Raw genomic sequence first — 27,968 nt, 5'->3', positions numbered from 1 at the left:
AAAAAAAAAAAAAAAAAAAAAAAAAAAGGAGAGGGAAGGGGTGAGGGGAGGGGGAGGGGACGACAGAGGGGACGGGGATGGGGAGGGGAGGGGAGGGAGTGGTTAACTGTGCCACGTCCCCCACATTGATTCATCAGCAAATCTGACTTAGGGTCTCTACCTTCAAAATGCACCAGAAGGATAAGATGTGGTGGCTCACACCTATAATCCCCGTGCTTTGGGAGGTGGAGGGGGAAGGATGAGGCCAGGAGTTCAAGACCAGCCTGGGCAACATAATAGCCAGACACCCAATCTCTATTTTTATTTTAAAGCATAGGCCAGGCGCAGTGGCTCACGTCTGTAATCCCAGGACTTTGGGAGGCTGAGGCAGGTGATCACCTGAGGTCAGGAGATCGAGATCAGCCTGACCAACATGGCGAAACCCCGTCTCTACTAAAAATACAAAAATTAGCCGGGCGTGGTGGCGCATGGCTCTACTCCCAGCTACTTGGGAGGCTGAGGCAGGAGAATCACTTGAACCCGAGAGGCAGAGGTTGCAGTGAGCTGAGATCGTGTCATTGCATTCCAGCGCAGTGGCTCATGCTTGTAATCCCAACACTTTGGGAGACCAAGGTGGGTGGATCACTTCAGCCCAGGAGTTCGAGACCACCCTGGGCCACATGGCAAAACCCCGTATGTACAAAAAAAACCAAAAAATTAGTTGGGTATGGTGGCGCACACATGTAGTCCCAGCTACTCAGATGGCTGAGGTGGGAGGAACTCTCGAGCAGGAGAGGTGAGGGCTGCAGTGAGCCATGGTTGTGCACCTGCACTCCAGCCTGGGCGACAAAGCAAGACTGTCTCAAAAGCAAAAAAAAAAAAAGGAAATTTTGATACGTGATACAAAAAGAAACAAATACTGAATGATTCTATGTGAATTATCTATAACAGGCAACTTGATGGATGCAGAAGGTAAAACAGAGGTTATGGAGGGAGAGAAGGGTAGAATGGGGAGTTACTATTTAATGGGTACAGAGTTTCTGTTTCGGGTGATGAAAACCTTCTGGAAATGGATAATAGTGGTGGTTACACAACATTGGGAATGTAACTAATGCCACTGAACTGTCCACTTAAAAATGGTTAAAATGGCAAACTTTTTGTTATCTAGATTTTACCACAAGTTTTAAAAACAGAAGAAAAAAGAAGGCAGAGGTTGTGGTGAGCTGAGATCTTGCCATTGCACTCCAGCCTGGGCAACAAGAGCAAAACTCCATCTCAAAAAAAAAAAAAAAAAAAAAAAGTATTACTAGACATCAAATAAGAAAACATCAACAAAATTAAGTTACACAAATGTATTCCAGAAACTAGTCTTTTAATATGTCCTCCAGACAAACTGGAAACAGCGCAGCTCCTTCCAATGGTTCATCATGACTTAGTTGTTTAATAAAGCAAGAGGCTTAACACCAAAGAAGAGCAGCAAATCTCCAGAACACGGCTTCTGTCTTGCATGTAAGACCTGTACCAACTCAGTGATGTCCACCTTACCTCCTGAGCTGCGTCCTCCTGAGTGACAGTGAGTATTTGTGTGCAGATTTCACCTCTTGAGATTTAACATCAGTGGAAATGCCAAGACAGCAAACAGGACAAAGAGCACTTTGGTTCATTCTAAGAACTGAATCTTGGCTGGGCACAGTGTCTCATGCCTGTAATCCCAGCACTTTGGGAGGCCGAGGCAGGTGGATCACCTGAGGTCAGGAGTTTGAGACCAGCCTGGCCCACATGTTGAAACCCCGTCTCTACTAAAAATACAAAGTTAGCCAGGCCAGGTTCATAAACACTTAATATCATATGCAAAATTTTGTGGATATATGCATTTTTCTGAGGAAAAGGTCAATATATTTTATCAGATTCTCAAAGTGGTGTAAGATCCAGATAAAATCAAGAAACTTGGGCCGGGCGCGGTGGCTCACGCCTGTAATCCCAGCACTTTGGGAGGCCGAGGCGGGCGGATCACGAGGTCAGGAGATCGAGACCATCCTGGACAACATGGTGAAACCCCGTCTCTACTAAAAAAAATACAAAAAATTAGCTGGGCGTGGTGGCGGGCGCCTGTAGTCCCAGCTACTCGGGAGGCTGAGGCAGGAAAGTGGCGTGAACCCAGGAGGCGGAGCTTGTAGTGAGCCGAGATCGTGCCACTGTACTCCAGCCTGGGCGACAGAGCGAGACTCAGTCTCAAAAAAAAAAAAAAAAAAAAAAAGAAACTTGAAGGCAATCTATTTCAGAATGCTGTCACACGCTGGGCTTATGGAATTGAATGTCCATCATTTCCTGTCTGAGCTAACATAGGAACTGTGCTTTCCATTCTCCTCTGCCTCCAACCTTAATGTGCCTTCTATTCCCAATGAGAAGCACATCATTTTACAAATATCCTTGGCCATGAATTCAGGCCAGATACCATGTTTTTAAAGTGCCCAGGTTGAGCCCTGCTCGGCCAGCCCTAAGGACACAAACATTCATACAGCATGCCAAGGCAGAGGTCCTCTTCAAGCTGCCTCTGGTGACTTGAGTTAGGGCCCTGATGCTTAAAGTCAGGACATTCTGATAATAGAAACTGTCATAGGTATCACTGGTAGAGAAAACTAAATGAGATCTCTGAGAAATTAAAATTATGATCCTGTAAAGCAATCAGCTGTAAAAGTGTTTGTTTGATGTATTCCTTGATGAGTGGCCAAACTGGTGTGTGTGTGTGTGTGTGTGTGTGTGTGGTGTGAAGTCCCATATATTCTGGGAAGAGGGCAACAGGCAGGGGTGGAGTCGTTTTTTGTTTTTTTGTTTGTTTTGTTTTGTTTTGTTTTGTTTGTGTGACAGGGTCTCACTCTGTTGCCCGGGCTAGAGTGCAGTGGTACAGTCTCGGCTCACTGCAACCTCCACCTCTCAGGCTCAAGTGATCCTCCCACCTCAGCCTCCCGAGTAGCTTGGACTACAGGTGTGTGCCACCATGCTTCGTTAATTTTTATATTTATTGTGGAGATGGGGTCTTGCCATGTTGCCCAGGCTGATCTCGAACTCCTGGGTTCAAATGATCCATCCACCTCAGCCACCCAAAGTGCTGAGATTACAGGCGTGAGCCGCCGCACCCAGCGAAAAGTGTGCCTGTAATCCCAGCTACTCAGGAGGCTGGGGCAGGAGAACTGCTTGAACCTGGGAGGCAGAGGTTGCAGTGAGCCGAGGTCACGCCACTGCACTCCAGCCTGGGCAACAGAGCGAGACTCCGTCTCAAAAAAAAATAATAAAAAAAAGAAAGCTGCCAGGAAAGGAAGTGGTAATTCTCATTCCTTAAGAATATCCGTACGGTCATTTGAGCTCCTTGGCCAGAAAGTGCTTTGGAAATACCATGTGTCTCAAAATTCCTCTCTTAGTGAAACAAATGCCTTGTGAGATGATGTCCCATTGCTATAAAAAATTGTCTGTTTTTCTTTTTGAGACAGAGTCTCACTTTGTCGCCCAGGCTGGAGTGCAGTGGTGTGATCTCGGCTCACTGCAACCTCCGCCTCCCGGGTTCAAGCAATTCTCCTGCCTCAGCCTCCCTAGTAGCTGGGATTACAGACCCACACCACCACGCCTAATTTTTGTATTTTTAGTAGAGACAGGGTTTCACTATGTTGGCCAGGCTGGTCTCGAACTCCTGACCTCAGGTGATCTGCCTGCCTCAGCCTCTCAAAGTACTGGGATTACAGGCGTGAGCCACCACACCTGTCCCTTCTTGTTGCTTTTATATGCTTGACTTCAGTCACTCCTCACAACTACTGTGAAAGTCACACCCCATTCTACAGGTGAGGAAACAGAGGCTTGCAGGCTTAGTAGTCATGTAGCTAGTAAGTGGTGGTTCTTTCCACCAGACCACACTGTCTTCCCCAAGAGGCATTTGTTAACCCTGTGCGGAGCCAGCCAAACCACAGGCTCCATGACTACCGGGAAGGTAAGGGCCAGGTTCTAGTTGACCAGAACTGGTGAAGAAACTAATCTTTGCTTACAGGGAGAAACCACAGGACATCTGCTTCCTTTGAGCAAGTGAAGGAGACACAGGAAAAGAGGTCCTGGTGAAAACACGACTTTCAGAAGTTATATCTGAGCCTTCCAGGAAGAAGTGGCAATCAGAGCCATAAGCTTGAAGTGTGGCGAGGAATCGGAAGGGCTGGACTGGAAGCTGGCTTCCTTATCCGGCCATGGCCTCAGGAACAAGGCAGCTGTAGGCTGTCTTGACCCCAGTCAGCAACGTGGCCTTGGCAGACTGCACATGGAAGGTGATTTGGGGAGGGCCTGAATCTCCCAGCATGCCTCTCTCCATGCCCACCCAAATCCACATGGTCAAGAGTGAGCTTGGCACTCCACCCTGATAGCTTTAAGGGGAAAGAGCAGGTGCCCTGAAATTTCCATTAGCCAAACCTGTAGCTATACCTTACATCCATTAGGATGAGAAAGTTGTAAAATCTGTTTTGAAATTCATGCAAAATCCATACGTTTGTTTTCATGCTACAGTGTTTTCTCTGTACTTGATTTTCTTTTGTTCTCTGGTCATGTTATTTTTGAAAATTTTCAGCTTTTGCTTTACAGAAAGAAAAGGAAAGGGATTTCTGCAGATCTAGGCCAAGGTAGCTGGGGAGATGAGAATACATCAGGGGCCAGATAAAGCTTTATCAAGGGTGGCCCCCAGTTCTTGAGCTGGGAAGAGTCTTTGAGGTTGAGGCAAGAGGAGGATGAAAACCCAGAACTGGAAGCTGAGACCTTCATTGCTTTCCATTAGTCTGTCCCCACCTCTCTCCATTCAATAGGTGATGGTCTTCTAGCAACTTGTTAGCCACACAGCATTCATCTGCAGTAGGCCACATTCTGCTGTACAATGCTACAGACATCTCAAAGACCACACCATGAGAACCACTGTGGTAGACATATGGCATGTTAAAATGCTAACTAGGCTGGGCACGGTGGCTCACGCCTGTAATCCCAGCACTTTGGGAGGCCGAGGCGGGTGGATCACCAGGTCAGGAGTTCAAGACCAGCCTGACCAACATGGTGAAACCCCATCTCTACTAAAAATACAAAAATTAGCCAGGTGTGGTGGCGCACGCCTGTAATCCCAGCTACTCAGGAGACTGAGGCAGAAAAATCGCTTGAACCCGGGAGGTGGAGGTTGCAGTGAGCTGAGATCGCGCCACTGCACTCCAGCCTGGGCGACAGAGTGAGACTCTGTCTCAAAATAATAACAATAATCATAATAAGGCCGGGCGCGGTGGCTCACACCTGTAATCCCAGCACTTAGGGAGGCCGAGGCTGGTGGAACACTTGAGGTCGGGAGTTCAAAACCAGCCAGGCCAACAAGGCGAAACCCTGTCTCTACTAAAAATACAAAAAAAGTAGCCAGCCATGGTGGTGTGTGCCTGTAATCTCAGCTATTCAGGAGGCTGAGGTGAGAGAATCCTTTGAACCCGGGAGGCGGAGGTTGCAGTGAGCCGAGATCGTGCTACTGCACTCAAGCCTGGGCGACAGAGCAGGACTCCGTCTCAAAATTAATAATAATAATAGTAACTAATAATGGTCTTCATCTAATCTAAGACATTATCAATCATAAGAAGCATGATTATTTTATGTATCACTTAGAAAAAAAATTCTGACAAGTAATCATGGCATACCATAAGATGCATCCCAAGATGAGAAATCTTAAAATGTGAAAAACATGCATCTCAGAATTGGTAATATGCTGATGTTTTCAATTAGTCTTCAAGCCATTTTCCAATTACAGTGTTTTCTACTGAAGTTTGAAACCCCCCATAAAGGCAGAAATGAGCCTCTCTTCCCCTGAAACCTCCCATTAAGGCAGGAATGAGCCTCTCTTTCCCTGAATTCCTAGAGTTCTACAAAAGAAACGCTAAATCCTGGTAGCTCCATTCATTTTAACTTTGCCTCTGGGGAGAAGGTGCAACCCTTCCTATGGACTTTGCTTGTACTACCTTTGTGATCTATCATATTCTGTTGTTTCTGGTAACCATTTACACGTATGACAATAGATTTTTAAGTTCATCAAAGGCAGGAATGGTATTTTATACATTCCCAAGTTTTAAGAGTGCATTTTAAAAAAGATTTGGACCAGGTGCAGAGGCTCACGCCTGTAATCCCAGCACTTTGGGAGGCTGAGGAGGGTGGATCACCTGAGGCCAGGAGTTCGAGACCAACCTGGCCAACATGGTGAAACCCCATCTCTACTAAAAACACAAAAATTACCCAGGCGTGCTGGCATGTGCCTGTAATCCTGGCTACTCGGGAGGCTGAGGTACTAGAATTGCTCGAAGCCGGGAGGCGGAGGTTGCAGTGAGCCAAGATTGTGCCACTGCACTCCAGCCTGGGCGACAGAGTGAGACTCCATCTCAAAAAAAAAAAAAAAAGATTTGAAATTCCATGAGTTCTCACTCTAGGTATTTCTTTTTTGTGTCCTGCCTTGTTTCAAACAGAATTGTATGTGGTTTACAGAGGTATACCTGATAGCACAGCAAGTAAAATACATACGAGGAAAATCCTCGGTATAAAAATTGAGGCCGGGCATGGTGGCTCATGCCTGTAATCCCAGCACTTTGGGAGGTTGAGGCCGGTGGATCACTTGAGGTCAGGAGTATGAGGCCAGCCTGGCCAATGTGGTGAAACCCCGTTTCTACTAAAAATACAAAAATTAGCCAGGTGTTGTGGTGCAAAGCTATAATCCCAGCTATCTGGAAGGCTGAGGCAGGAGAATCACTTGAACCCAGGAGGCAAAGGTGGCAGTGAGCCGAGATTGTGCCACTGCACTCCAGTCTGGGTGACAGAGCGAGACTCCATCTCAAAAAAAAAAAAAAAAACAAAAAGCAAAACAAAACAAAAAATTGAGACGGTGATTGAGACGGTGATGTGGTTCACACCTGTAATCCCAGTACATTGGGAGGCCGAGGTTGGCAGATTGCTTCAGCTCAGGAGATGGAGACCAGCCTGGGCAACATGGCAAAACCCTGTCTCTACAAAAAAAAACAAAAAATTAGCCAGGCATGGTGGTGCACGCCTATAGTCTCAGCTACTTGAGAGGCTGAGGTAGGAGTATTGCTTGAGCCTGGGAGGTAGAAGTTGCAGTGAGCCCAGATCACGCCACTGAACTCCAGCCTGGGTGACAGAGGGAGACCCTGTCTCAAAACAAAAAAAAGAAAACAAAAGCAAAACAAATCAGGACAAAGGGGAAATGAAAGTAGTGAAATTGGGTATAACCAGGAGTAAGCTGTAACATAAAAGCATTCTGTAAGATCCTGTTAACAGAAATAAGCCCAAATTTGGCTCTGAGCTTGCTAGCAGTCAAAGAGAGAAGGGAAACATGATCAGTTATAAGACTGGGTCCATATAATAAAAACTAATTGCTCAAAAGAATCAGCTAATGGTATACCCTGCTTGTGTGCACCTGGCTAGTGTGTATTCCTTAACCTTTCATTTATTTGCATATTTCCAGATCCTGACATGGGGTTTGTATTACGGTAGGCCAGTAATTCTCCAACTTTTCATCTTGGAAGTCTTTTACACTTTTTAAAAACTTTTTTTTTTTTTTGAGACAGGGTCTCACTCTATCACCCAGGCTGGAGTACAGTAGCATGAACACGGCTCACTGCAACCTCAACCTCCCAGGCTTAAGCAATCCTCCCACCTCAGCCTCTCAAGTAGCTGGAACCACACATATGTACCTCCACACCTGGCTAATTTTCAAAATTTTTTTTGTAGAGAGAGGGTCTCACTATGTTTCCCAGGCTGGTCTTGTTCTCAAACTCCTGGCCTTAAGTGATCCTCCCTCCTCAGCCTCCCAAAGTGCTGGGATATCAGGCACGAGCCACACAGTGCCCAGCCTTAAAAACAGTGGCTCACGCCTGTAATCCCAGAACTCTGGGAGGCCGAGGCAGGAGGATTGCTTTAGCCCAGGAGTTTGAGACCAGCCCAGACAATATACTAAGACCATGTCTCTATTTAAAAAAAAAAAAAATGGCCAGGAGAGGTGGCTTATGCCTGTAATCCCAGCACTTTGGGAGGCTGAGGCAGGTGGATCACTTGAGGTCGGAAGTTCGAGACCAGCCTGACCAACATGGAGAAACCCCGTCTTTACTAAAAATACAAAATTAGCCAGGCGCGGTGACTCACGCCTGTAATCCTGGCCCTTTGAAAGACCGAGGCGGGCGGATCACGAGGTCAGGAGATCGAGACCATCCTGGCAAACATGGTGAAACCCCTTCTCTACTAAAAATACAAAAAAAAAATTAGCCACGCGTGGTGGTGGGCACCTGTATCCCAGCTCCTCGGGAGGCTGAGACAGGAGGATGGCGTGAACCCGGGAGGCGGAGCTTGCAGTGAGCCGAGATCGCGCCACTGCAGTTCAGGCTAGGTGACAGAGCGAGACTCCGTCTCAAAAAAAAAAAAAAAAAAAAAAAAAAACAAAATTAACCGGGTATGGTGGCACATGCCTGTAATCCCAGCTACTCATGAGGCTGAGGCCGGAGAATCAATTGAACCCAGGAGGTGGAGGTTGCAGTGAGCCGAGATCACGCCGTTGCACACCAGTCTGGGCAACAAGAGAGAAACTCCGTCTCAAAAAACAAACAAGGCCGGGTGCGGTGGCTCACACCTGTAATCCCAGCACTTTGTGAGGCCGAGGCTGGCTGATGACAAGGTCAGGAGATCAAGACCATCCTGACTAACACAGTGAAACCCCGTCTCTACTAAAAATACAAAAAATTAGCCGGGCGTGGTGGCAGGCGCCTGTAGTCCCAGCTACTTGGGAGGCTGAGGCAGGAGAATGGCGTGAACCCAGGAGGCGGAGCTTGTAGTGAGCCGAGATCGTGCCACTGTACTCCAGCCTGGGCGACAGAGCGAGACTCAGTCTCAAAAAAAAAAAAAAAAACCCTGAAAATAGTTTTGATGTAATAGATCCCTGAAAAGGTCTGGGAGACCACTTTGAGAACCAAGGTGGCAGGCAGATACCATGCTTAAAATGTTCATTCAAACGTTTATATTTCCAAAGTCTTGTTTTTCTTAGTCTGGCTAATTTCTTTCTGACTCGGGCCCCATTAGCATTTGATGTGAGTGTGTATAAGCCTGTAGCTGCGAGCCTGAGGCTCCCGAAGCCTGAGTCATGACTGCTCCACCTTCCCTGGCACAAGGAAGCGTTCGCTATTCTCTGAGTAAACCAGGTGTTATGGTTCATGCCTGTAATCCCAGCACTTTGGGAGGCCCGAGGTGGGCGGGCAGATCTTTTGCGCCCAGGAGTTTGAGACTAGCCTGGGCAACATGGCAAAACCCCATTTCGACAAAAAAAACAGAAAATTTAGTGGGGTGTGGTGGTGCACACCTGTGGTCTCAGCTACTCAGGAGGCTGAGGTGTGAGAATCACTTGAGCCCGGGAAGTGGAGGCTTCAGTAAGTCGTGATGGTGCCATTGCACTCCAGCGTGGGTCACAGAGTAAGACCCTGTCCCAAAAACGAAAACAGAACAAAAACCGGGGTAAGCATCACAGATCGACCTGAAAGCACTAATGTCCAGTCCCAAGAGCTGTCCCCTTCTCGTTCTCATCTTCCTCACCACAGGCTCACAAGCAGGTTCATGGCCACCTGGAACAGATTGGGCCCCAAGAACAAAAGTATTTCCCCCACCACTGCCAGCACATACAGGATAGTTACCCTAAGTGAACTCCTCCACAACCATAAGGCCCAGGGATGGGTACCAGCTAACTCCACTTTCATCCTGCATATATTCTTAATAAACCCAGCTTAATTGTCCAGCCAGATTTCCTAAGGTATAGCTACTCTCTCTAACTTCAAAAGGAGATCCTGTAAGGAATCAACCATACTCCATTGTGAGAATCTGCTTTGCCCATGGCCTTGTTCCCCTTGTCACCTATATGGGGAATCTGGAAGGACAAACTGACATGTGTAGCCTCTTTCTCTCCCTTTTTCCTATTAGGAGCTGGCCTACCACTCCCTCCTCTACTTAGTAAGGTTTAGAGGCCTGTCTGTCTCATTTTAGGCTTAAGTCTTATAAAGTATTAGGAAGTCACTTGCTCACAGAGTCTCTGACCTCTGCCAGGTGCAGTGGCTCACACCTGTAATCCCAACTACTGCGGAGGCTGAGGCGGGAGGATTGCCTCAGCTCAGGAGTTCAAGACCAGCCTGGGCAAAATAGTGAGATTCTGTCTCAAAAAAAATTTTTTTTTCCAAAAAAAAAAAAAAAATCTCTGCCCTCCAACCTAGCCTTTGTCAGTAGTAAAGGTGACATTTTAGTCTCCATCTGCTGCCTCCCTGTTCTTATATCTTAATTGCTTCAGAACCCTGGTGAGGAATAAGGGCGCCATTACAATGCCCCTCAGAGACCCCAAGATGGTCATATCGGTAAGCATTAGCAATTTTAGGTCACTGCTGAAAACACAGTTATTAAAGGAGTTCTAAAGTTTAAAAATTTGCTTTGACTATTCTCTTCAGAAACTTTTAACACTCTTTTTTTATTTTTATTTTTTTGAGACACAGTCTTACTCTGTTGCCAAGGCTGCAGTACAGTGGCATGATCTCGGCTCACTGCAGCCTCCACCTCCCAGGTTCAAGCGATTCTCCTGCCTCAGCCTCCCAAGTAGCTGGGATTACAGGTGCCCGCCACCACAACCGGCTAAATTTTGTATTTTTAGTAAAGATAGGGTTTCACCATATTGGCCAGGCTGGTCTCGAACTCCTGACCTCAAGTGATCCACCTGCCTCAGCCTCCTGAAGTGCCAGGATTACAGGCACTTTCTCAGGATTACAGAGGATTACAGGCGTGAGCCATCGCACCCAGCCGAGAAACTTTTAACACTCTGTAGAGGAAGGAACTGATATTGTGATTGACTTTTGTCAGGGTTAGTTGCTATCGGCAGCTCTCTGAGGAAGAGGCTGTAATTTGCATGCTTAATCTCATGTCTATTCCACTTTTCCTTCAGGGAAAGGCCTTGTTCATGTACATCTAGTAGGAGTGAACCTGATACATCGTGATTGCGTCATATGTATTTGCTGAATGAATTAATAAAAAGCTAATACTACTCAATTTCTTTTTTTTTTTTTTTTTTCAGATGGAGTTTCACTCTTGTTGCCCAGACTGGAATGCAATGGCACGATCTCAGCTCACCATAACCTCCACCTCTTGGGTTCAAGCGATTCTCCTGCCTCAACCTCCCGAGTAGCTGGGATTACAGGCACGTGCCAACACGCCCAGCTAATTTTTGTATTTTTAGTAGAGACGAGGTTTCTCCATGTTGGTCAGGCTGGTCTCGAACTCCTGATCTCAGGTGATCCGCCTGCCTCGGCCTCCCGAAGTGCTGGGATTACAGGCGTGAGCCACAGAGCCTGGCCTAATACTACTCAATTTTTATCAAACACTCTGGCGCTAGTAGACAATCTCCTTTAGGGAAAGAACTGCTTTCAGGAAAATATTTTAATAAGTTACCTGTAATAAAAGTGAGAGGCCTTTAAGGAAGGAAAAAAAGAATATTTATGCTGCCTCTTTATGGGAAAACAAGAGGGATTTGTCACTTATTTTTTCCTACTGATGGGGAGTGGGGCTAAGGAGGAAAGAGAGACAAGAGCCAGTGAGCTGGTCTGAGTTGGGGACTGCGGGAAGTCATGGTGGGTGAGTGATAATATTTTAAGCACAGGGACACTCAGAGTTTAATCTGAAGTTCCATTGCTGTGATGTAATCCACTCTCTTCCTTCCCACATGTCATCAGTGATTATGACAATATAAACATCAGCAGAAATCTTGGGGACGGTTTGGGATTCCCTAGAGGGTATGTGCCAATGTTCTCTGCCCTTCAAGTCTTTGTTCTGAAGCAATACTTGTGGCAGATTGCTGGAAGAATATTCTGTCCATTACAGATCATGAAAAAATTTTACCTGTGGATCAATCCAGACCTCAGAAAGCTGTTAAGTTATGACTTCATTAGAGAAGAAAGAAAGAAAGAAAGAAAGAAAGAAAGAAAGAAAGAAAGAAAGAAAGAAAGAAAGAAAAGACAGACAGCAAGCAAGCAAGCTGTGAGGCAGGAGCCCTTTGTTCCACCTACCAGTAGGCTTATTTTTACTGAACTGAATATGAAGGTTAGGCCTACACCGAAGAAAGTTGTAAGAAATGGGCTGGGCACCGTGGCTCATGCCTGTAATCCCAGCAGTTTGGGAGGCCAAAGTGGGCAGATCACGAGGTCAGGAGATCGAGACCATCCTGGCTAACACAGTGAAACCCCATCTCTACTAAAAATACAAAAAATTAGCCAGGCGTGGTGGCACATACCTGTAATCCCAGCTACTTGGGAGGCTGAGGCAGGAGAATCGCTTGAACTTGGGAGGCAGAGTTACAGTGAGCCGAGATTGCGCCACTGCACTCCAGCCTGGGTGTCAGAGCAAGACTCCGTCTCAAAAAAAAAAAAAAAAAAAAGAAAAGTAAAAAGATATAAACCGGCCAGGTGTGGTGGCTCACACCTGGTAATCCCAGCACTTTGGGAGGCCAAGGCGGGCAGATCACGAGGTCAGGAGTTCAAGACCAGCCTAACACGGTGAAACCCTGTCTCTACTAAAAATATAAAAATTAGCTGGGTGTGGTCGCATGCCTGTAATCCCAGGACTCAGGAGGCTGAGGCAGGAGAATCGCTTGAACCTGGGAGGTGGAGGTTGCAGTAAGCCGAGATAGCGCCACTGCACTCCAGCCTGGGCGACAGTGCGAGACTTCATCACAAAAAATAAAAAAATAAAAAAGAAAGAAGCCATAGGCCACCCATTACTAAATTCACTGTAGGGGTTTCGTTGAGACTAAATCACATAATGAGGGCCCATGAGAGAAATGCCTTGTGTGAAGTCCACCTCTGACAACTGTGCAGGACTTGATGACACATCCTTTGATATCATCCTTACCCCTGGCTTCACCTTACTGTCTTATTTGTATTTTCGGTTTGCACCAATGGCCTCCTTAATGTTTGAGGGAGCTGTGCTACATAGAACTCTAAAAGCTGCTAGCAATAATTTTTCAAGCAAGGCAAAGCATAATGAAAAAAATTAATATGCTTTTCAAATTCTATTATCTCTAATTCCCACCTCACTATGCTCTTCACTTGAAAACGTGGAAAGTAAAAAGATAATTTATCTTCCTCCTGCGGCATGTTGGCAAGCATTCACCCAGCCCCTCTTCACTACTCCCAAATAAGGACTTGCTGATATTTTTAGCAAAACAATTTATGGGTCCATTTTTCAAAAATCAAGCTAGTTCACTCCTGTGCGTGCTCATGCGCGCACACACACACTCACACTCACATACTGCTTGAGTGATCAGAAAACCCAGCCACACAATTTATTCATTTATTTTTAAAAGTAGAGGCGGGGTCTTACTACATTGCCCAAGCTGGTCTTGAAACCCTGGGCTCAAGCTATCCTTTTGCCTCAGCCTCCCAAAGTGCTGGGATTACAGGTGTGAGCGACTGCGCCTGGCCAACAATTTATGCATGGCCCTCCCTTAGCTTGTTTCAGGTATATATGCTTATTTCTTTGGTGCATTTTCCTTATATATTGTTTACATATGATATAAATACTTCCCCATACTTTATTTGCATTATTATGTTTGGTATCTATGAGAAAAAGAATATTTTGGATATTAAATATGAAACATTATTGGATATTAAATTGAAACAATTAATGCTATAGTTCCCCTTTGACCACTCACTTTTCCCCAGCTGCCTCCCAGAATTAGCCACTGTTACCAGTTTGATGCATAACCTTCTAGATTCTCATGTTTGCTTTTGTAAATATATACACATAGGTAGAGCAGTCTATTGGTTTTTGTCATGTGTATCTGGGTGTTAAATGAAGGAGTGATGTTCTACAACTTGCTTTTATGATTTAACTATGTCTTAGGCCACTTTTCCTCCTCCCAGGGAAGAGCTCTTCTCTATGGTTTTGTTTTGTTTTTTTGTTTTTTTTTGAGACGGAGTCTTACTGTGTCACCCAGGCTGGAGTGCAGTGGCATGATCTTGGTTCACTGCAACCTCCACTTCCCAGGTTCAAGGGATTCTTGTGCCTCAGCCTCCCGAGTAGCTGGGATTACAGACCCATGCCACCAGGCTCAGCTAATTTTTTGTATTTTTAGTAGAGATAGGGTTTTGCCATGTCTCTACTCCTGACCTAGAGGCTGGTCTCAAACTCCTAACCTGAAGTGATTTGCCCACCCTGGCCTCCCAAAGTGCTGTGATTACAGGTATGAGCCACTGCACCCAGCCATAGGCACTGTTTAATGCACCGGGAATACAACTGTGAGCAAAAAAACTCTCTCAACCTCCATGGCACTTACATTGTCTGGAGGGGAGACAGAAAATAAAGTAAGTATAAGAAAATAACATGTTGGGGCTGGGCATGGTGGCTCACACCTGTAATGTCAGCACTTTGGGAGGCCGAGGTGGGCAGATCACCTGAGGTCGGGAGCTCAAGACCAACCTGACCAACATGGAGAAACCCCGTCTCCACTAAAAATACAAAATTAGCCGGGTGTGGTGGCACATGCCTCTAATCCCAGCTACTCAGGAGGCTGAGGCAGGAGAATCGCTTGAACCCAGGAGGTGGCGGTTTGGGTGAGCCAAGATTGTGCAATTGCACTCCAGCCTGGGTAATGAGCGAAACTCCATCTCAAAAAAAAAAAAAAAAAAAAAGAAAAGAAATAACATGTTGGTTAATTAGTCCCACAAATAAATATTAGGGATAAATGGGGCCGGGCACGGTGGCTCACGCCTGTAATCCCAGCACTTTGGGAGGCCGAGGCGGGTGGATCACGAGGTCAGGAGATCGAGACCATCCTGGCTAACATGGTGAAACCACGTTTCTACTAAAAACACAAAAAAATTAGCAGGGCGTGGTGGCGGGTGCCTGTAGTCCCAGCTACTCGGGAGCCTGAGGCAGAAGAATGGCGTGAATCTGGGAGGCGGAGCTTGCAGTGAGCCGAGATTGCCTCACTGCACTCCAGCCTGGGCGACAGTGCAAGACTCCGTCTCAAAATTAAAAAAAGAAAAAAAGAAAGAAAAACCAGGCGTGGTGGCTCATGCCTGTAATCTCAGCACTTTCAAAGGCCAAGGTGGGTGGATCACTTGAGGCCAGGAGTTCAAGACCAGCATGGCCAACATGGTGAAACCCTGACTTTACTAAAAATAGAAAAATTAGCCAGGCATGGTGGCACGTGTCTGTAGTCCCAGCTACTCGGGAGGCTGAGGAGGGAGGTGGAGGCTGCAGTGAGCTGTGATTGTGCCGCTTCACAGCCTGGGCAACAGAATGAGATCCCGTCTCAAAAGGAAAAAAAACAAAAACACAGGGATTTCCAAGAGGCAGGGATTGTAATTTTAAACATGATGGTCAAGGATAGCCTGTGGAGAGGGTGACAATTTGAGCGAAGTCTATGCCTTTTGTTTTTTTTTTTTGAGACGGGAGTCTTGCTCTGTCGCCCAGGCTGGAGTGCAGTGGCGCGATCTCAGCTCACTGCAAGCTCTGCTTCCCGGGTTCACGCCATTTTCCTGCCTCAGCCTCCCAAATAGCTGGGACTACAGGCGCCCGCCACCACGCCCGGCTAATTTTTTGTATTTTTTAGTAGAGGCGGGGTTTCACCATGTTGGCCAGGATGGTCTTGATCTTCTGACCTCGTGATCCACCCACCTCGGCCTCCTAAAGTGCTGGGATTACAGGCGTGAGCCACCACGCCGGGCCGCCTTTTGTTTCTATAGACAGTAGCTTCTTTTTCAGAGGGAGAGAAAACTGAGGTGTTTTCAACAATTTTTTTTTTCAGAGATGGGGTCTCGCTATGTTGCCCAGAGTGGTCTCAAACTCTGCCTCAAGTGAGCCTCCCACCTTGGCCTGCCTAGGCTGGAGTACAATGGCACTATCTAGGCTCACTGCAACCTCCACCTCCCGGGTTCAAGTGATTCTCCTGCCTCAGCCTCCCGAGTCGCTGGGATTACAGGCGCCTGCCATCACGTCCAGGTAATATTTGTATTTTTAATAGAGACAGGGTCTCACCATGTTGGCCAGGCTGGTCTTGAACTCCTGACCTCAGGTGATCCACCTGCCTCGGCCTCCCAAAGTGCTAGGATTACAGGCATGAGCCACCACGCCCAGCCGGCTTTTTTTTTTTTTTTAACTAGTCAAGGACAGTAGTGAAAAAGGGAGGGGAGAAAAATTTTCTGCAATTTCTTTTTTTTTTTTTTGAGACAGAGTCTCGCTCTGTCACCCAAGCTGGAGTGCAGTGGTGCAATCTCGACTCGCTGCAACCTCCACCTCCCAGGTTCAAGCAATTCTCAGGCCTCAACCACCCGAATAGCCGGAACTACAGCCGCCTACCACCATGCCTGGCTAATTTTATTATTTTTAGTAGAGACGAGGTTTCACCATGTTGGGCAGGCTGGTCTCAAACTCCTCACCTCAAGTGATCCGCCCAACTTCACTTCCCAAAGTGTTGGGATCACAGGTACGAGCCAGCTCACCCAGCCTGTTTTCAGCAATTTCTTTCCCGCCATGCAGCCCTCCTGCAGTTGCCTCAAGTTACTTTCAAGATGTGACTGTTGAGCAGTTTCCTGCTAATAGAGGGTCAGAATGATCACACTTCTCTCAGCCCCTACACAGCAAGCCAGATCTCCATTTGGCTGTTTTCTCTTTCTGGCAAAAATTGTTCAAATGAGCTAGAGTCAAATATAAGTATTCACAAAACACTGGGGTCATTTAAAAAAATCATTTGCTGAAATTGAAGAGTTTATGGTGCCAAGTAATATATTTGAAAAGAAAATTTGCCCAAGTCAATGGATTTCAAAACACTTGACTTATAACCACAGGAAGAAATATATGTGGGATCTAGTACATTCATACATACATAAATCTAAAACATACCTGGGAGTGGTGGCGCGTGCCTGTAATCCCAGCTACTCAGGGGGCTGAGGCAGGAGAATCGCTTGAACCTGGGAGCCAGAGGTTGCAGTGAGCCGAGATGGTGCCACTGCACTCCAGCCTGGACAACACAGCGAGATTCATTCTCAAAAAATAATAAAATAAAATAAAATAAAATAAAATAAAATAAAATAAAATAAAAATAAAATAAAAGCTTCACAAAATAATACTCACCTTTACTGTGATTCGCCTTTATATATGATTTTTCTTTTCTATTCTTATTTCATTTTAAATAAAGTTGTTCACTATTCACTAAATTGTTTCTCAACCGTCTGTTTATTCTCATTGGTTGGGTGTTCAAGATCTTTTCTTTTCAGAGCCCGCAATTTTATCAATAAAATTTTTGTTGTTGTTTGTAGTTTGAGACAGAGTCTCGCTCTGCTGCCCAGGCTGGAGTGCAGTGGCGCAATCTCGGCTCACTGCAACCTCCGTCTCCCAGGTTCAAGCGATTCTCTTGCCTTAGCCTCCTGAGTAGCTGGGATTACAGGCAACCGCCAACAGGCTCGGCTAATTTTTGTATTTTTAGTAGAGACGAGGTTTCACCATGTTGGCCAGGCTGGTCTCAAACTACTGACCTCAAGTGATCCACCTGCCTCGGCCTCCCAAAGTGCTGGGATTACAGGCGTGAGCCACCGCGCCCGGCCAAAGGCAAGATTTTAATCTAGGGTGCCATGACTCTTCAGTACTTTTTTTCACCACGACTATATTTTTATAAAACTTAAAGAACTGTTTCGACCTGAATATGAGATTGGGCAGTTGAGAGTAATGTTTGAGAGTACTGCATGGGTCAATGATAATATTTCTGAATAGTTTGGAAGTATTAAAACTGAAGAAAATAATTATACTTGCCGGGTGCAGTGGCTCACGCCCGTAATCCCAGCACTTTGGGAGGCCGAGGCGGGCAGATCGCCTGAGCTCAGGAGTTTGAGACCAGCCTGGCCAACATGGTGAAACCCTGTCTCTACTAAAAATACAAAAAAATTGCCTGGGCGTGGTGGCAGGCACCTGTAATCCCAGCTACTTAGGAGGCTGAGGCAGGAGAATCGCTTGAACCCGGGAGTCAGAGGTTGCAGTGAGCCGAGATCATGCCACTGCACTCCAGCCTGGGCAACAGAGCAAGACCCCATCTGGGCGGGGCGGGGTAGAAAATAATTATACTGTAATAATCTGGAAAAAAAATGTTCACACAGTATTAATGTGTGATAATCATCTCATACATTCCAGAAATGAGGTTTGAGAGCCTTCACTGACCATGTGTCATATCCATTTATTTTGGGATCCCTTTCACCCCATTTTTAACTTCCTCCCAGTTGCCCAATGTCCTCTGGAGTTTTCCATCCAAGACCCCCATCTTTTTTTTTCCCTTTCCCCCCTTTTTAGCTTCCTCCCAGTTGCCCAATGTCCTCTGGAGTTTTCCATCCAAGAACTCCAGCTTCTTTTTTTGGGGGTGGGGGAGGACGGGGTTTCACTCTTGTTGCTCAGGCTGGAGTGCAATGGCGCGATCTCGGCTCACTGCAACCTCCGCTTCCCGGGTTCAAGCGATCCTCCTGCCTCAGCCTCCCGAGTAGCCGGGATTACAGGCGCGTGTCGGGATCACACGTGTGAGCCACCACGCCCAGTCCCCCCATCTTCTTAAAGGGGTTAATTTCTTGGCTCTTGCATTTTGACTTTTCCATCATTCCAATTGCCATCCTGTGTCCTGCTCTTTCCCAAGGGTTGCATTCTTACTCTGCTGAATGCTATATTATTGGATTTATGAACAATTGTTAATGTATTATAATTGTCTGATACTTTGATTTACCAGAATGAACACTTCTATAAGTAGGACTGGATCGAACTTGTTCACAATTGGAATCTTGGTGCAAATCCTAGTTCTAAGGGATACAAAGCACAAAATATTTGCGAAATAGAACAAGCTTTCAGACTTCATACTGGCATGTATCTTTGCCTTATGCCAAAGATGTGACGATGTGACTAAATACGGAAGTTTTGTTTTGCTATTGAGCCAAGGTCTTGCTCTGTCATTCAGGCTGGAGCGCAGTGGTGCAATCATAGCTCAGTGTAACCTCCAACTCCCGGGCTCAAGCGATCCTCCCAGCTCAGCCTCCCTAATAGCTGGGATTACAGGCAGGCACCACCGCACCCAATTAATTTTTAATTTGTGTGTGTGTGTGTGTGTGTAGAGACAGGGTTTCAGTAGTTGCCTCCCAAAGTTCTGGGATTACAGGCATGAGCTACCATGCAGGACCTGTTTTGTTTTAATACTTAGTAATTGGGTGTAAAGTCCTTCAAAAAACAGGTGGGGCAGGTGGGAAACTCCCTTTGTGTGACCCTCTAGCACCAGGGATAAAATTTCAACTTCATCTTAAAGCGACAACATACTTTTCCAAGACCAAGTGCGAAATAGTAAAGGGAAGAGCTAGCTCCGTAGCCGTCCGCCACAGAATGCCACAAGCTTTCAATTATGGGACAAAATTGGAACACATGGAAACCCTGTGCAGACTCCCGTGACATCTTCCCTCCTCTCCAAGTCCCTTCCCACAGACCTTGCGCCCCACACGATTATTCCCCAGGGGCCGAGCAGGACGACTTGGGTCCCACTATCCGGACTCAGCGGTGCCCCCACAAAAGCGTCCCAAAAACTCCAGCTGGGGCAGCCCTGGGGCAGATGCTGAAAAGTTGTCAGAGGCCCTCGGGCAGTCCCGAGATCTACCCCAGGCCAGAGGGCCTGACCCTCCCTAAATGCGACGTTCTCCTACCTTGGTTGATACTCACGTTCCCAGAAAAGGGTGGAACCTAGGCTGGACGAGGCGCAGGGCCAAAGTTTAATTCCTCTAAGCTCCACCCAGCTCCCAGCACCTCTCCAGGCGGCCCCGTGGGGTAGGGCGGAGCCGGGTCCAACGTACTCCGCTTCCCCCGCTCCACCCACCCAGGGCTAGGGAGCGCCCCGAGAGTTGGCCTCCTCCCACGCTGCGCGCGCACCTCCCCGCCCCCACCCCTACCCGCTGGCGTGCCCAGTGGAACGGAGCCTTGTGTCTCCGCCTCAAGTCCCCGGATGCTCACCTCCCCGACTCGCCCCCGCTGTGGCCCCGCCCCCGCGCGGCTCTTCGTGCCACGTCACCGCCTGCGTCGCTTCCGGAGGCGCAGCGGGCGATGACGTAGAGGGACGTGCCCTCTATATGAGGTTGGGGAGCGGCTGAGTCGGCCTTTTCCGCCCGCTCCCCCCTCCCCCCGAGCGCCGCTCCGGCTGCACCGCGCTCGCTCCGAGTTTCAGGCTCGTGCTAAGCTAGCGCCGTCGTCGTCTCCCTTCAGTCGCCATCATGATTATCTACCGGGACCTCATCAGCCGTGAGTCCTCACTGCACTATCCTTACTGCCGCACACGGGGGTCTGGGGTGCGGGTGGGGGCGGGGAAGGCGCAGCCGTCGCGGGCCTAGGGGACGCCGGCGGTCTTAGCCGAGCGCGGAGGGGTCGGTGCCCGGGGCTCGCGCCCAGCTCTGGTGTGCTACGGAGGGGCAGATCCCGCGTGCGGCCGCCGGCGCGGGAAATGCGGGAAATGGCGGCGCCAGGCGCACGGTGATGGGCGGCTCTGTGTATCCGGCAGACGATGAGATGTTCTCCGACATCTACAAGATCCGGGAGATCGCGGACGGGTTGTGCCTGGAGGTGGAGGGGAAGGTGAGTCGGTCGGGCCTGCGCGTGGGGGAGTCCGGGCCGAGCGGGCTCGGGTTTCCTCCGCTCCCCCGCCTGAGGTTGTGCAATCCTCCCCGCCGCCTCCTGGCGGAGGAGACGCTCTTTCCGGGCTTGGGTTTTTCTAGAAAACTGGAGGCGGAGCTGATCCTGGAAATAGGCCCGCCGCCTCGGCGCCCATCCTCCTCCCGGGGTTGTCCGGGACATGATGCTTCCGGCTTAGGAGCCTGGAGTCCTTTCGTGTTTGTCCTGTCCCCACTTACCAACCGGAGGCATCACATGCCCGCAACTGGAAACAACTTTTTAATGACCCCATTTTTTGTTCCGGCCAACAGACAACTCTTTTAAGTTAGGTCGTTTTGAGAAATCCACGGGTCACAACTTTATTCCCAAAATGGTGCTTTTTTTATTTTCAGCAAGAACTAAGAATACTTCTTATCCGTGAACTATTGGCGTGGAAGGTGCTTTGGATGCGTTTGTGTCTTTTGCAATTATACTGCTTTTTCTTAATGCAGATGGTCAGTAGGACAGAAGGTAACATTGATGACTCGCTCATTGGTGGAAATGCCTCCGCTGAAGGCCCCGAGGGCGAAGGTACCGAAAGCACAGTAATCACTGGTGTCGATATTGTCATGAACCATCACCTGCAGGAAACAAGTTTCACAAAAGAAGCCTACAAGAAGTACATCAAAGATTACATGAAATCGTAAGTGATACTGGCAGTACCTAGCTGATGTCTAGAATCTTACAGGATTTAAAGATTGGCTAACTTTTGAGGTTCTTTCGCAGTGGGTATACTTTTGTGAAAGTCCTTGCTTTTTTATTAATGAGTTCACGGAAAAGAGTGGTTGCTTTTCTATAATATGAGCATACTGAAGCCTGCAGTCTGTTTCCGTTTAGAATTAGAATAGTATTTTGAAAATAGTCAACAAGAAATGTAAACATTCTTGAAAGATACCTTCTGTGAACTAGTAATTTCTTAACAGCTGGTTGCCTTTTTCAGTGTTTTCTTTTTTTAAGCTTGGATATTTTTTACTTTAAAAATTGATTTTACTGAAAATTCAATACTTCAACCTGTTAATGAAATGTTGTTTTAGAATCAAAGGGAAACTTGAAGAACAGAGACCAGAAAGAGTAAAACCTTTTATGACAGGGGCTGCAGAACAAATCAAGCACATCCTTGCTAATTTCAAAAACTACCAGGTAAATACCTTAAGTATCTGGATCAAAGGATTGTACAATTTTAACTGCAAGAGCAAAAATTAAGTTGATTAATCTTCAATTCTATACTAGTATTCCAGGTGTAGAAAGTGGCTTTCCCAGCTCGCAGGTGTTTCCAAATCTTGTCTTCTGATTGAAAATTTGCTTCCCAGATGACATTTCTCAGTTTTTCTTTTTGTGAATTGCTTAACCACCTAAGTGTTCTTTCAGTTTTTTGCTTACAATTTTAATGTGTCTCATTGCTACTGGTCCTCCTTCTAATGTATCTGAGCTTGTTAATTCTACTTTTGGAAAATGTCAGTGGCTTTCCCTTTCCTCTAATTTTCCAGCTTCATGCATCCCCTGGCCATAAGATACTTCCAGACTGTATGATATATTCTATCACTGTCAGCCTTATGTTCCCTGTGGTTGACTATATAAGCACGCTTTAGGGTTTGGGATTGTATTTAGGATTGAGAGTAAAGGTTTCCTGAAAGCCTAGTGTTCCTGGATTGCTCTGTACGTTATTTTTCTATTTAGGTCACTATTAAGGTGCCTTAATCCAGTGAACAGATGTCTATGATAAGTGAGCATCAGAGCTTTTGGGTACTGAAGTTTTGATTTTTGTGGTGGTCTAAACCTTCCCTTGTACTGTAGTTTGTTTTGAATGGCATGTATTTGTATGTAATAGTCTAATTCTAGGTATTTTGTTTGCTTCCCAAGTTCTTTATTGGTGAAAACATGAATCCAGATGGCATGGTTGCTCTATTGGACTACCGTGAGGATGGTGTGACCCCATATATGATTTTCTTTAAGGATGGTTTAGAAATGGAAAAATGTGTAAGTACAAGGAAGTGGGTTAAAATAAATAATGTAAAAAAGACATTTTAGATGTGATTTGCAATTGTTTTGTGACACTGAGAATGAGTTTTACAGCGTTCTGAAACATGGTTTTAGTTTTCTCTTTGGGGATCAAGAGAATTGTGTTTCATATGTAAAAAATTCTTAGGGTATAAAAAGGCTTAGAATCTTATTTGTGGAAAACGTTGAGTGCAGATGGGGCATAATAAAGTACAGTTTAGGCTGGGTGTGGTGGCTCACACCTGTAATTTCAGCACTTGGGACGCCGAGGTGGGTGCATCACCTGAGGTTGGGAGTTCGAGACCAGCCTGGCCAACATGGCGAAACCCTATCTCTGCTAAAAATACAAAAATTAGCCAGGCATGGCAGCGGGCACCTGTAATCCCAGCTAATCGAGAGCCTGAGGCAGGAAAATCACTTAAACCTGGGAGGGGGGTTGCAGTGAGCAGAGATCCCACCACTGCACTCTATCCTGGGTGACAGAGTGAGGTGCTGTCTCAAAAAAATACAGTAGAGTTTAAATGCTGAAGGAGATCAGAGAACACCATTGATCTTCCTCTAGATATGGCCTCACTTTCACTTCATAATCATATTTTGCTGTATACGTATGGATCAGTATCAGTGGTTTTCACTTTGGTTTACTGATAATGGGCAGCTGATCATTGAAAAGCCTAGTGCAGTACTAGCTTAGTAAATAGAGCTGACTGCTGAACTGGTATGCAAATTGTTTTACTAATAATAAATAACTTGGTGTCTTCTATGGAAGGAACTGCTGGAAGCTGTACAGAAACAAAGGCATTCATTATCCTAGTTTTCATAGGCTTCTGTATAAGGAAGAAGAAAAACATAAAGCTATACTGAACAAGATTAGAGTCAACAGTAGACAGAAATTACTTAGAACAGTATAAGATGACTTACCAAAGGGGTTATTCAGACAGTATCTGAGGTTTTTGTTGGTAGAGCAGGGTGTGGGTGGTACATGCCACAGCCTTCTGAAAAATGAGCTACCGCTGATTTGGTAAGGGTGTTCTGCATCCACTGATAGACCTTGAACAATTTACTGTTGTTCTTTTGGTTTGCACTAGGATGCAAAAGAAAGAAATCCCTGCGCTTTCTGTCTGTCTTTGTGGCGGCCCAGATTGAATTGGGGAATACATCTTTAGCCTGGAAATGTAGGCTGCATGTTAATGGTAATGTAACTTTTGCAGTGTAATGTTTGAAAAATATTAATGTAGTTTTTGCTTTTACAGTAACAAATGTGGCAATTATTTTGGATCTATCACCTGTCATCATAACTGGCTTCTGCTTGTCATCCACACAACACCAGGACTTAAGACAAATGGGACTGATGTCATCTTGAGCTCTTCATTTATTTTGACTGTGATTTATTTGGAGTGGAGGCATTGTTTTTAAGAAAAACATGTCATGTAGGTTGTCTAAAAATAAAATGCATTTAAACTCATTTGAGAGAATGCCTTTTAGTTTAATGCATATTTAAACTAAATTGATCCTGTAGTGTTCCTGGAGAAGCTAGAGCCTGATTGTAGGCTACTACTCATCAATTAACTTCTACAGTGGAGACTACTTCTGGGACTGGAATATAAAAAAGAATCAAAGGTTCTGATTTTGAGTTGCAATAAAGGGAAAGACCATGCTCATAGCAGTGCCAACATCTGAAGTGTGGAGCCTTACCCATTTCATCACCTACAACGGAAGTAGTTAACTGGAAGAGATTACCAAGAGAATAAAAAGAGACTCATTCAGTGGAAGCAACTTTGTCTCAGCTTATTTCACATAAAGAGAGCGAAGTCTTTTGGGATGAATGTTAATTAAACTCCCTGGTAACTAGAACAGGGACTGGCAAACTAGCCTATCTGACCACCTGTTTTGTACACTTTAAGGTGGTTGGTTGCCTTTTTAAATGGTTGAGGGGAAAAGAATACCTTGTGGGATATGGAATTTAAGTTCGAGTCCAGTTTTATTGGAACGTGGCTATGCTTATTCATTTATGGATTGACTGTGGCTGTTGTCAGTGCATGAGCAGAGTTGTGTCTAACAGACTAGAGCCTGCAAGTTTGCCAGCCCCTGATTTAAAAGATGAAGGTACACAGAATGTGGGCTGGCTGGTGGGCAAAGGGGTAAAAATGTTCTCTATATTGTATCTGAAAAGATGGGGTGTCTGAATAAGAAAATGCATCTATTTGACAGACCTGGAGCAGTTGCTATCTGCTGCTATGGTTTCCACCACAGATGCAAGAAGAACATGTCCTTGCGCTTTCCGTCTGTCTAATTGTGGCAGCTGAGATTGAATAGAGGAATACAGGAGGAAAAAAAGCGGGAAGAGTTTTTGAGGCAGGTCGGTCACCCAGGCTTGTAGTGCAGTGGCACAAGCAACTCACTGCATTCTCTGCATCCTGTGCTCAAGCCATTTTCCCACCTCAGTCTCACTAGTTGCTGGGACTGCAGGCATGCACCCCTATGCCCAGCTAATTTTTGTAGAGACCGAGTATCGCTTAGTTGCCCAGGGTGGTCTCAACTCCTGGGCTCAAGGAGATCTGCCCACCTCAGCCTCCCAAAGTGCAGGCCTAGCCTGGGAGGGGAATTTTCAAAACGTGAGTTTTGGGAAATAGTCTATCAGCCTTACCTGGTTGATTACACTTGTAAAAGAAAGATTAAAAGCAGGCCAGTGACTCTGGTCTGCTTGAACATGTGAATGTAGTGGTTTGAGCAATCTGGAGTTTGCCCTAGTGTCAAATTCCAGACTGTCCATAGTGTCCAAAACCTGAGGCAGATACTAATGTTAACCCCCAGCACCCCGTGATTGGAAACAAACCTAAATACGTATTGGGAACTTAATAGCAATTTTAAGCATTCTGATAGATTTTTTGTAGGGATGGGGTCATGCCATGTGGCCCAGGCTGGTCTGAAAACTCTGGCCTCAAGTGATCTCAAGCTTTGGCCTTCTAAAGTGTTGGGATTACAGGTGTGAGGCATTGCACCTGGCTTAGCGTTCTGATTTGACATTGTAATGAAAAGTGTGAGTCTCATCTACAGGGCCTTTTGTCCTCTGAAATGATAGCAGGAAGGGAATTTTCAGGCAGTGGTCAAAGCTGGGGAAACCAGGATAGTGAAGAAGGCCTTGAGGTGAGAGATGGAAGCTAATTGGTGAACTAGCCTTGGAAGCCTGAAACAGACAAGTAGCAATTCAGAGACTTTGTGGGCTCCACTGCTCCAACTTGTTTTGAAGATTTTCAGTTCTGCAGAAGAGGTATTTCCCCAGTTGTCCTTTCAGTGCTCTTAGCTGTTTTCCCAACATCCAGATCCAATCAAGGCTGGGACATAGCATTTTATCATGTCTATTTAAGTCAGAAGTGATGAACCCCAGCTGTTTACCTCATGGTAAACCTTTGAAGATTCCAGGTAGAATCTTCTCAGACTTTGAAGACTGTCTCATTTTATATCTTTTTCTCGTTATTCCTAGGGTCAAGACGTTTTGGGCAAGAATAAGGATGTGAACATCAGAAAGCTCATAACATTTTGTTTTTGATGCTAAGTTTAACAAAGGCATGCTTTAGTAGCCTGTGGGCCCTAGGGTTTGTTAAAGTGTGGAGAACAACTGAGTGGAGCAAGAGGACTTTTCTAGGAAGGTCCTTGTAATGTGACATTTGAAAACAAATGAAGGTGTGGAAGTAGGCCATGTGGATATCAGGACAAACCATTCCAGGCCAAGACAACAGCAGTTAGTCTGGAGTGTGATGTGTTCTGGGAAAAAAGTGGCCACTTTGCTAACCCAAGAAGACAGGAAGGGTTGTAAAGCAGTGGGAGTGTGCAAGGAAGGAAGACCAGACCTCAAGGAAACCACAGGCGCTCTGAGCAGAAGAGTTACATGATATGACTCAAATTTTTAAAGGATCACTTTGGCTGCCAGGTGGCAGGGTAAAAGCATAGAATAATTGTGTATAATGTGTTTTTAAGGCAAAGATAGTGGCTTAGTCTAGGGTAGTAGACTGAGGTGGTAGGAAATGAAGATAGAGACAACAGGATATGCTGGTGGGTGAGGATGGATTTAATGTTGATACAAGTATTTTGGTCTGAGCGTTTGGAAGAAAGTTGGCACTGAGGTGGGAAGTCGAGTTTAGTTTTGTTAGTTTTGGATGTGTTAAGTTTGAGATGCTGATTCTTCAGAGAAGTCTAAGCTGGAGAACTATATAGAGAGTGGAAAGATAACAATAGACATTGAAAGCCATGATACAGGATAAGGTCATTTGGAGAGAGGATAGACTGCATTCCAACATGAGATTGGTTGACAAAGAGAAACCAACAAAGGTAATTAAGAGGTGCTCCCACTGCACTTGTACTCAGAAGGCTGAGGTAGGATTGTTAGAGGCCAGCCTGGGCACCACAGGGAGACCCCATCTCTAAAATTTAGCCAGGAACCATGGCTCATGCCTGTAGCCCCAGGAATTTGGGAGGCTGAGTGGGGAGGATCGCTTGAGGTCAGGAGTTTGAGACCAGCCTGGGCAACATAGGGAGACCTAAAAAAATTAATTGGGCATCTGTAGTCCCAGCTACTCAGGCGGCTGAGCTGAGAGGATGGCTTGAGTCCGAGAGATTGAGGGTGCAGTGAGCTGTGATCATACCACTGCACTCCAGCCTGGGCGGCAGTGAGACACTATCTGAAAAAAGTTTAAAAATTTTAAAAAAGAAGGAACTGCCCCTGAGGTAAGAACCAAGGGAGGGCCTCCCAGAGGTCAGGTGGAAAAAGTTTTAGGAAGGAGGAAGTAGTCAACAGGGTTACCTGTTGCAAAGTACTTAAGTAATATGAGGCCTGATAGTGGTAAACTTGACTACCGTTGGATTTCACTAGTGGGAAAGGAAGTCTAATTAAAATGCACTCAAGAGACTAACAGTCGCAGGCATGAAATACAATACAGGTACATGGTTTTTTATTATGTGTGCATCTGCTTCAGTAATAGGTGTGAATTACTCATTTGGATCATTAGGAGTTTCAAAATCTAGTTAAATGACTAGATTTTTGTTGATGTAAATTCTGTCATTCTGAACTGCAGGGATTGTCAGTAACTTAACTGCAAACTAAACTGGTGATAATTATGGTAAAATTGCAAGACGAGCAATAAATCTCAACCAACTTGAGAGAACACTGATAACAAAGCATCCTTAAGGTTATATGTGTGTGCACACAGGTGGAGTGG

General features: G+C 46.0%; 1 protein-coding gene, 2 long non-coding RNA genes and 2 other non-coding genes across 7 annotated transcripts in view, besides 5 other annotated features; 3 read left to right on the top strand and 2 right to left on the bottom strand.

Annotated features, from left to right (window-relative positions):
* TPT1-AS1 (TPT1 antisense RNA 1) overlaps window positions 1-20,049 on the bottom strand; it is a 50,139-nt gene extending 30,090 nt beyond the window's left edge. Inside the window, exons 1-3 of the long non-coding RNA NR_024458.1 lie at window positions 20,007-20,049; window positions 17,854-17,968; window positions 16,948-17,015 (exon numbers count right to left, since the gene is read on the bottom strand). This is a non-coding gene — a long non-coding RNA (TPT1 antisense RNA 1). The remainder of the gene's footprint in view (window positions 1-16,947; window positions 17,016-17,853; window positions 17,969-20,006) is intronic.
* Window positions 17,985-18,772: an enhancer, noted in NCBI's record as "H3K27ac-H3K4me1 hESC enhancer chr13:45916757-45917544 (GRCh37/hg19 assembly coordinates)". NCBI's record gives its function as "activates a minimal SCP1, AML or CMV promoter by ChIP-STARR-seq in primed H9 embryonic stem cells {active_cell/tissue: H9 hESC(primed)}" and the evidence as "EXISTENCE:reporter gene assay evidence [ECO:0000049][PMID:30033119]".
* On the bottom strand, window positions 18,091-19,960 carry LOC124903169 (uncharacterized). Its single transcript, XR_007063781.1, has 2 exons — window positions 19,764-19,960; window positions 18,091-18,107 (listed from the first exon to the last, which is right to left on the bottom strand). It is a non-coding gene; the product is annotated as an uncharacterized LOC124903169 (long non-coding RNA).
* Window positions 19,835-20,034: a silencer, noted in NCBI's record as "silent region_5315". NCBI's record gives its function as "represses an Ori minimal core promoter by ATAC-STARR-seq in GM12878 lymphoblastoid cells {active_cell/tissue: GM12878}" and the evidence as "EXISTENCE:reporter gene assay evidence [ECO:0000049][PMID:35858748]".
* Window positions 20,195-20,304: a silencer, noted in NCBI's record as "silent region_5314". NCBI's record gives its function as "represses an Ori minimal core promoter by ATAC-STARR-seq in GM12878 lymphoblastoid cells {active_cell/tissue: GM12878}" and the evidence as "EXISTENCE:reporter gene assay evidence [ECO:0000049][PMID:35858748]".
* TPT1 (tumor protein, translationally-controlled 1) lies at window positions 20,211-27,923 on the top strand. Of its 3 annotated transcripts, none has more exons than NM_003295.4 (6): window positions 20,211-20,352; window positions 20,609-20,682; window positions 21,210-21,400; window positions 21,792-21,897; window positions 22,618-22,734; window positions 24,006-27,923. In NM_003295.4, exons 1-6 carry the CDS (start codon window positions 20,325-20,327, stop codon window positions 24,006-24,008), a joined length of 519 nt encoding a protein of 172 aa, NP_003286.1. In that variant the 5' UTR covers window positions 20,211-20,324; the 3' UTR covers window positions 24,009-27,923. The 3 variants fall into 3 exon arrangements, with proteins under 3 accessions (NP_003286.1, NP_001273201.1, NP_001273202.1); NM_001286272.2 differs by having other exon boundaries at window positions 23,841-27,923; NM_001286273.2 differs by lacking the exon at window positions 20,609-20,682.
* Window positions 20,352-21,141: an enhancer, noted in NCBI's record as "H3K27ac hESC enhancer chr13:45914388-45915177 (GRCh37/hg19 assembly coordinates)". NCBI's record gives its function as "activates a minimal SCP1, AML or CMV promoter by ChIP-STARR-seq in naive H9 embryonic stem cells {active_cell/tissue: H9 hESC(naive)}" and the evidence as "EXISTENCE:reporter gene assay evidence [ECO:0000049][PMID:30033119]".
* Window positions 20,385-20,454: a silencer, noted in NCBI's record as "silent region_5313". NCBI's record gives its function as "represses an Ori minimal core promoter by ATAC-STARR-seq in GM12878 lymphoblastoid cells {active_cell/tissue: GM12878}" and the evidence as "EXISTENCE:reporter gene assay evidence [ECO:0000049][PMID:35858748]".
* SNORA31 (small nucleolar RNA, H/ACA box 31) lies at window positions 23,785-23,914 on the top strand. The gene has a single exon (NR_002967.1). It is a non-coding gene; the product is annotated as a small nucleolar RNA, H/ACA box 31 (small nucleolar RNA).
* On the top strand, window positions 24,947-25,080 carry SNORA31B (small nucleolar RNA, H/ACA box 31B). The gene has a single exon (NR_145985.1). It is a non-coding gene; the product is annotated as a small nucleolar RNA, H/ACA box 31B (small nucleolar RNA).
* Window positions 27,924-27,968: the final 45 nt, after the last annotated feature.

The sequence above is a fragment of the Homo sapiens genome, chromosome 13 (assembly GCF_000001405.40).
Source record: "Homo sapiens chromosome 13, GRCh38.p14 Primary Assembly".
In the NCBI taxonomy this organism is placed as follows: domain Eukaryota; kingdom Metazoa; phylum Chordata; class Mammalia; order Primates; family Hominidae; genus Homo; species Homo sapiens.
This window is presented reverse-complemented; position numbering and strand designations above follow the sequence as displayed.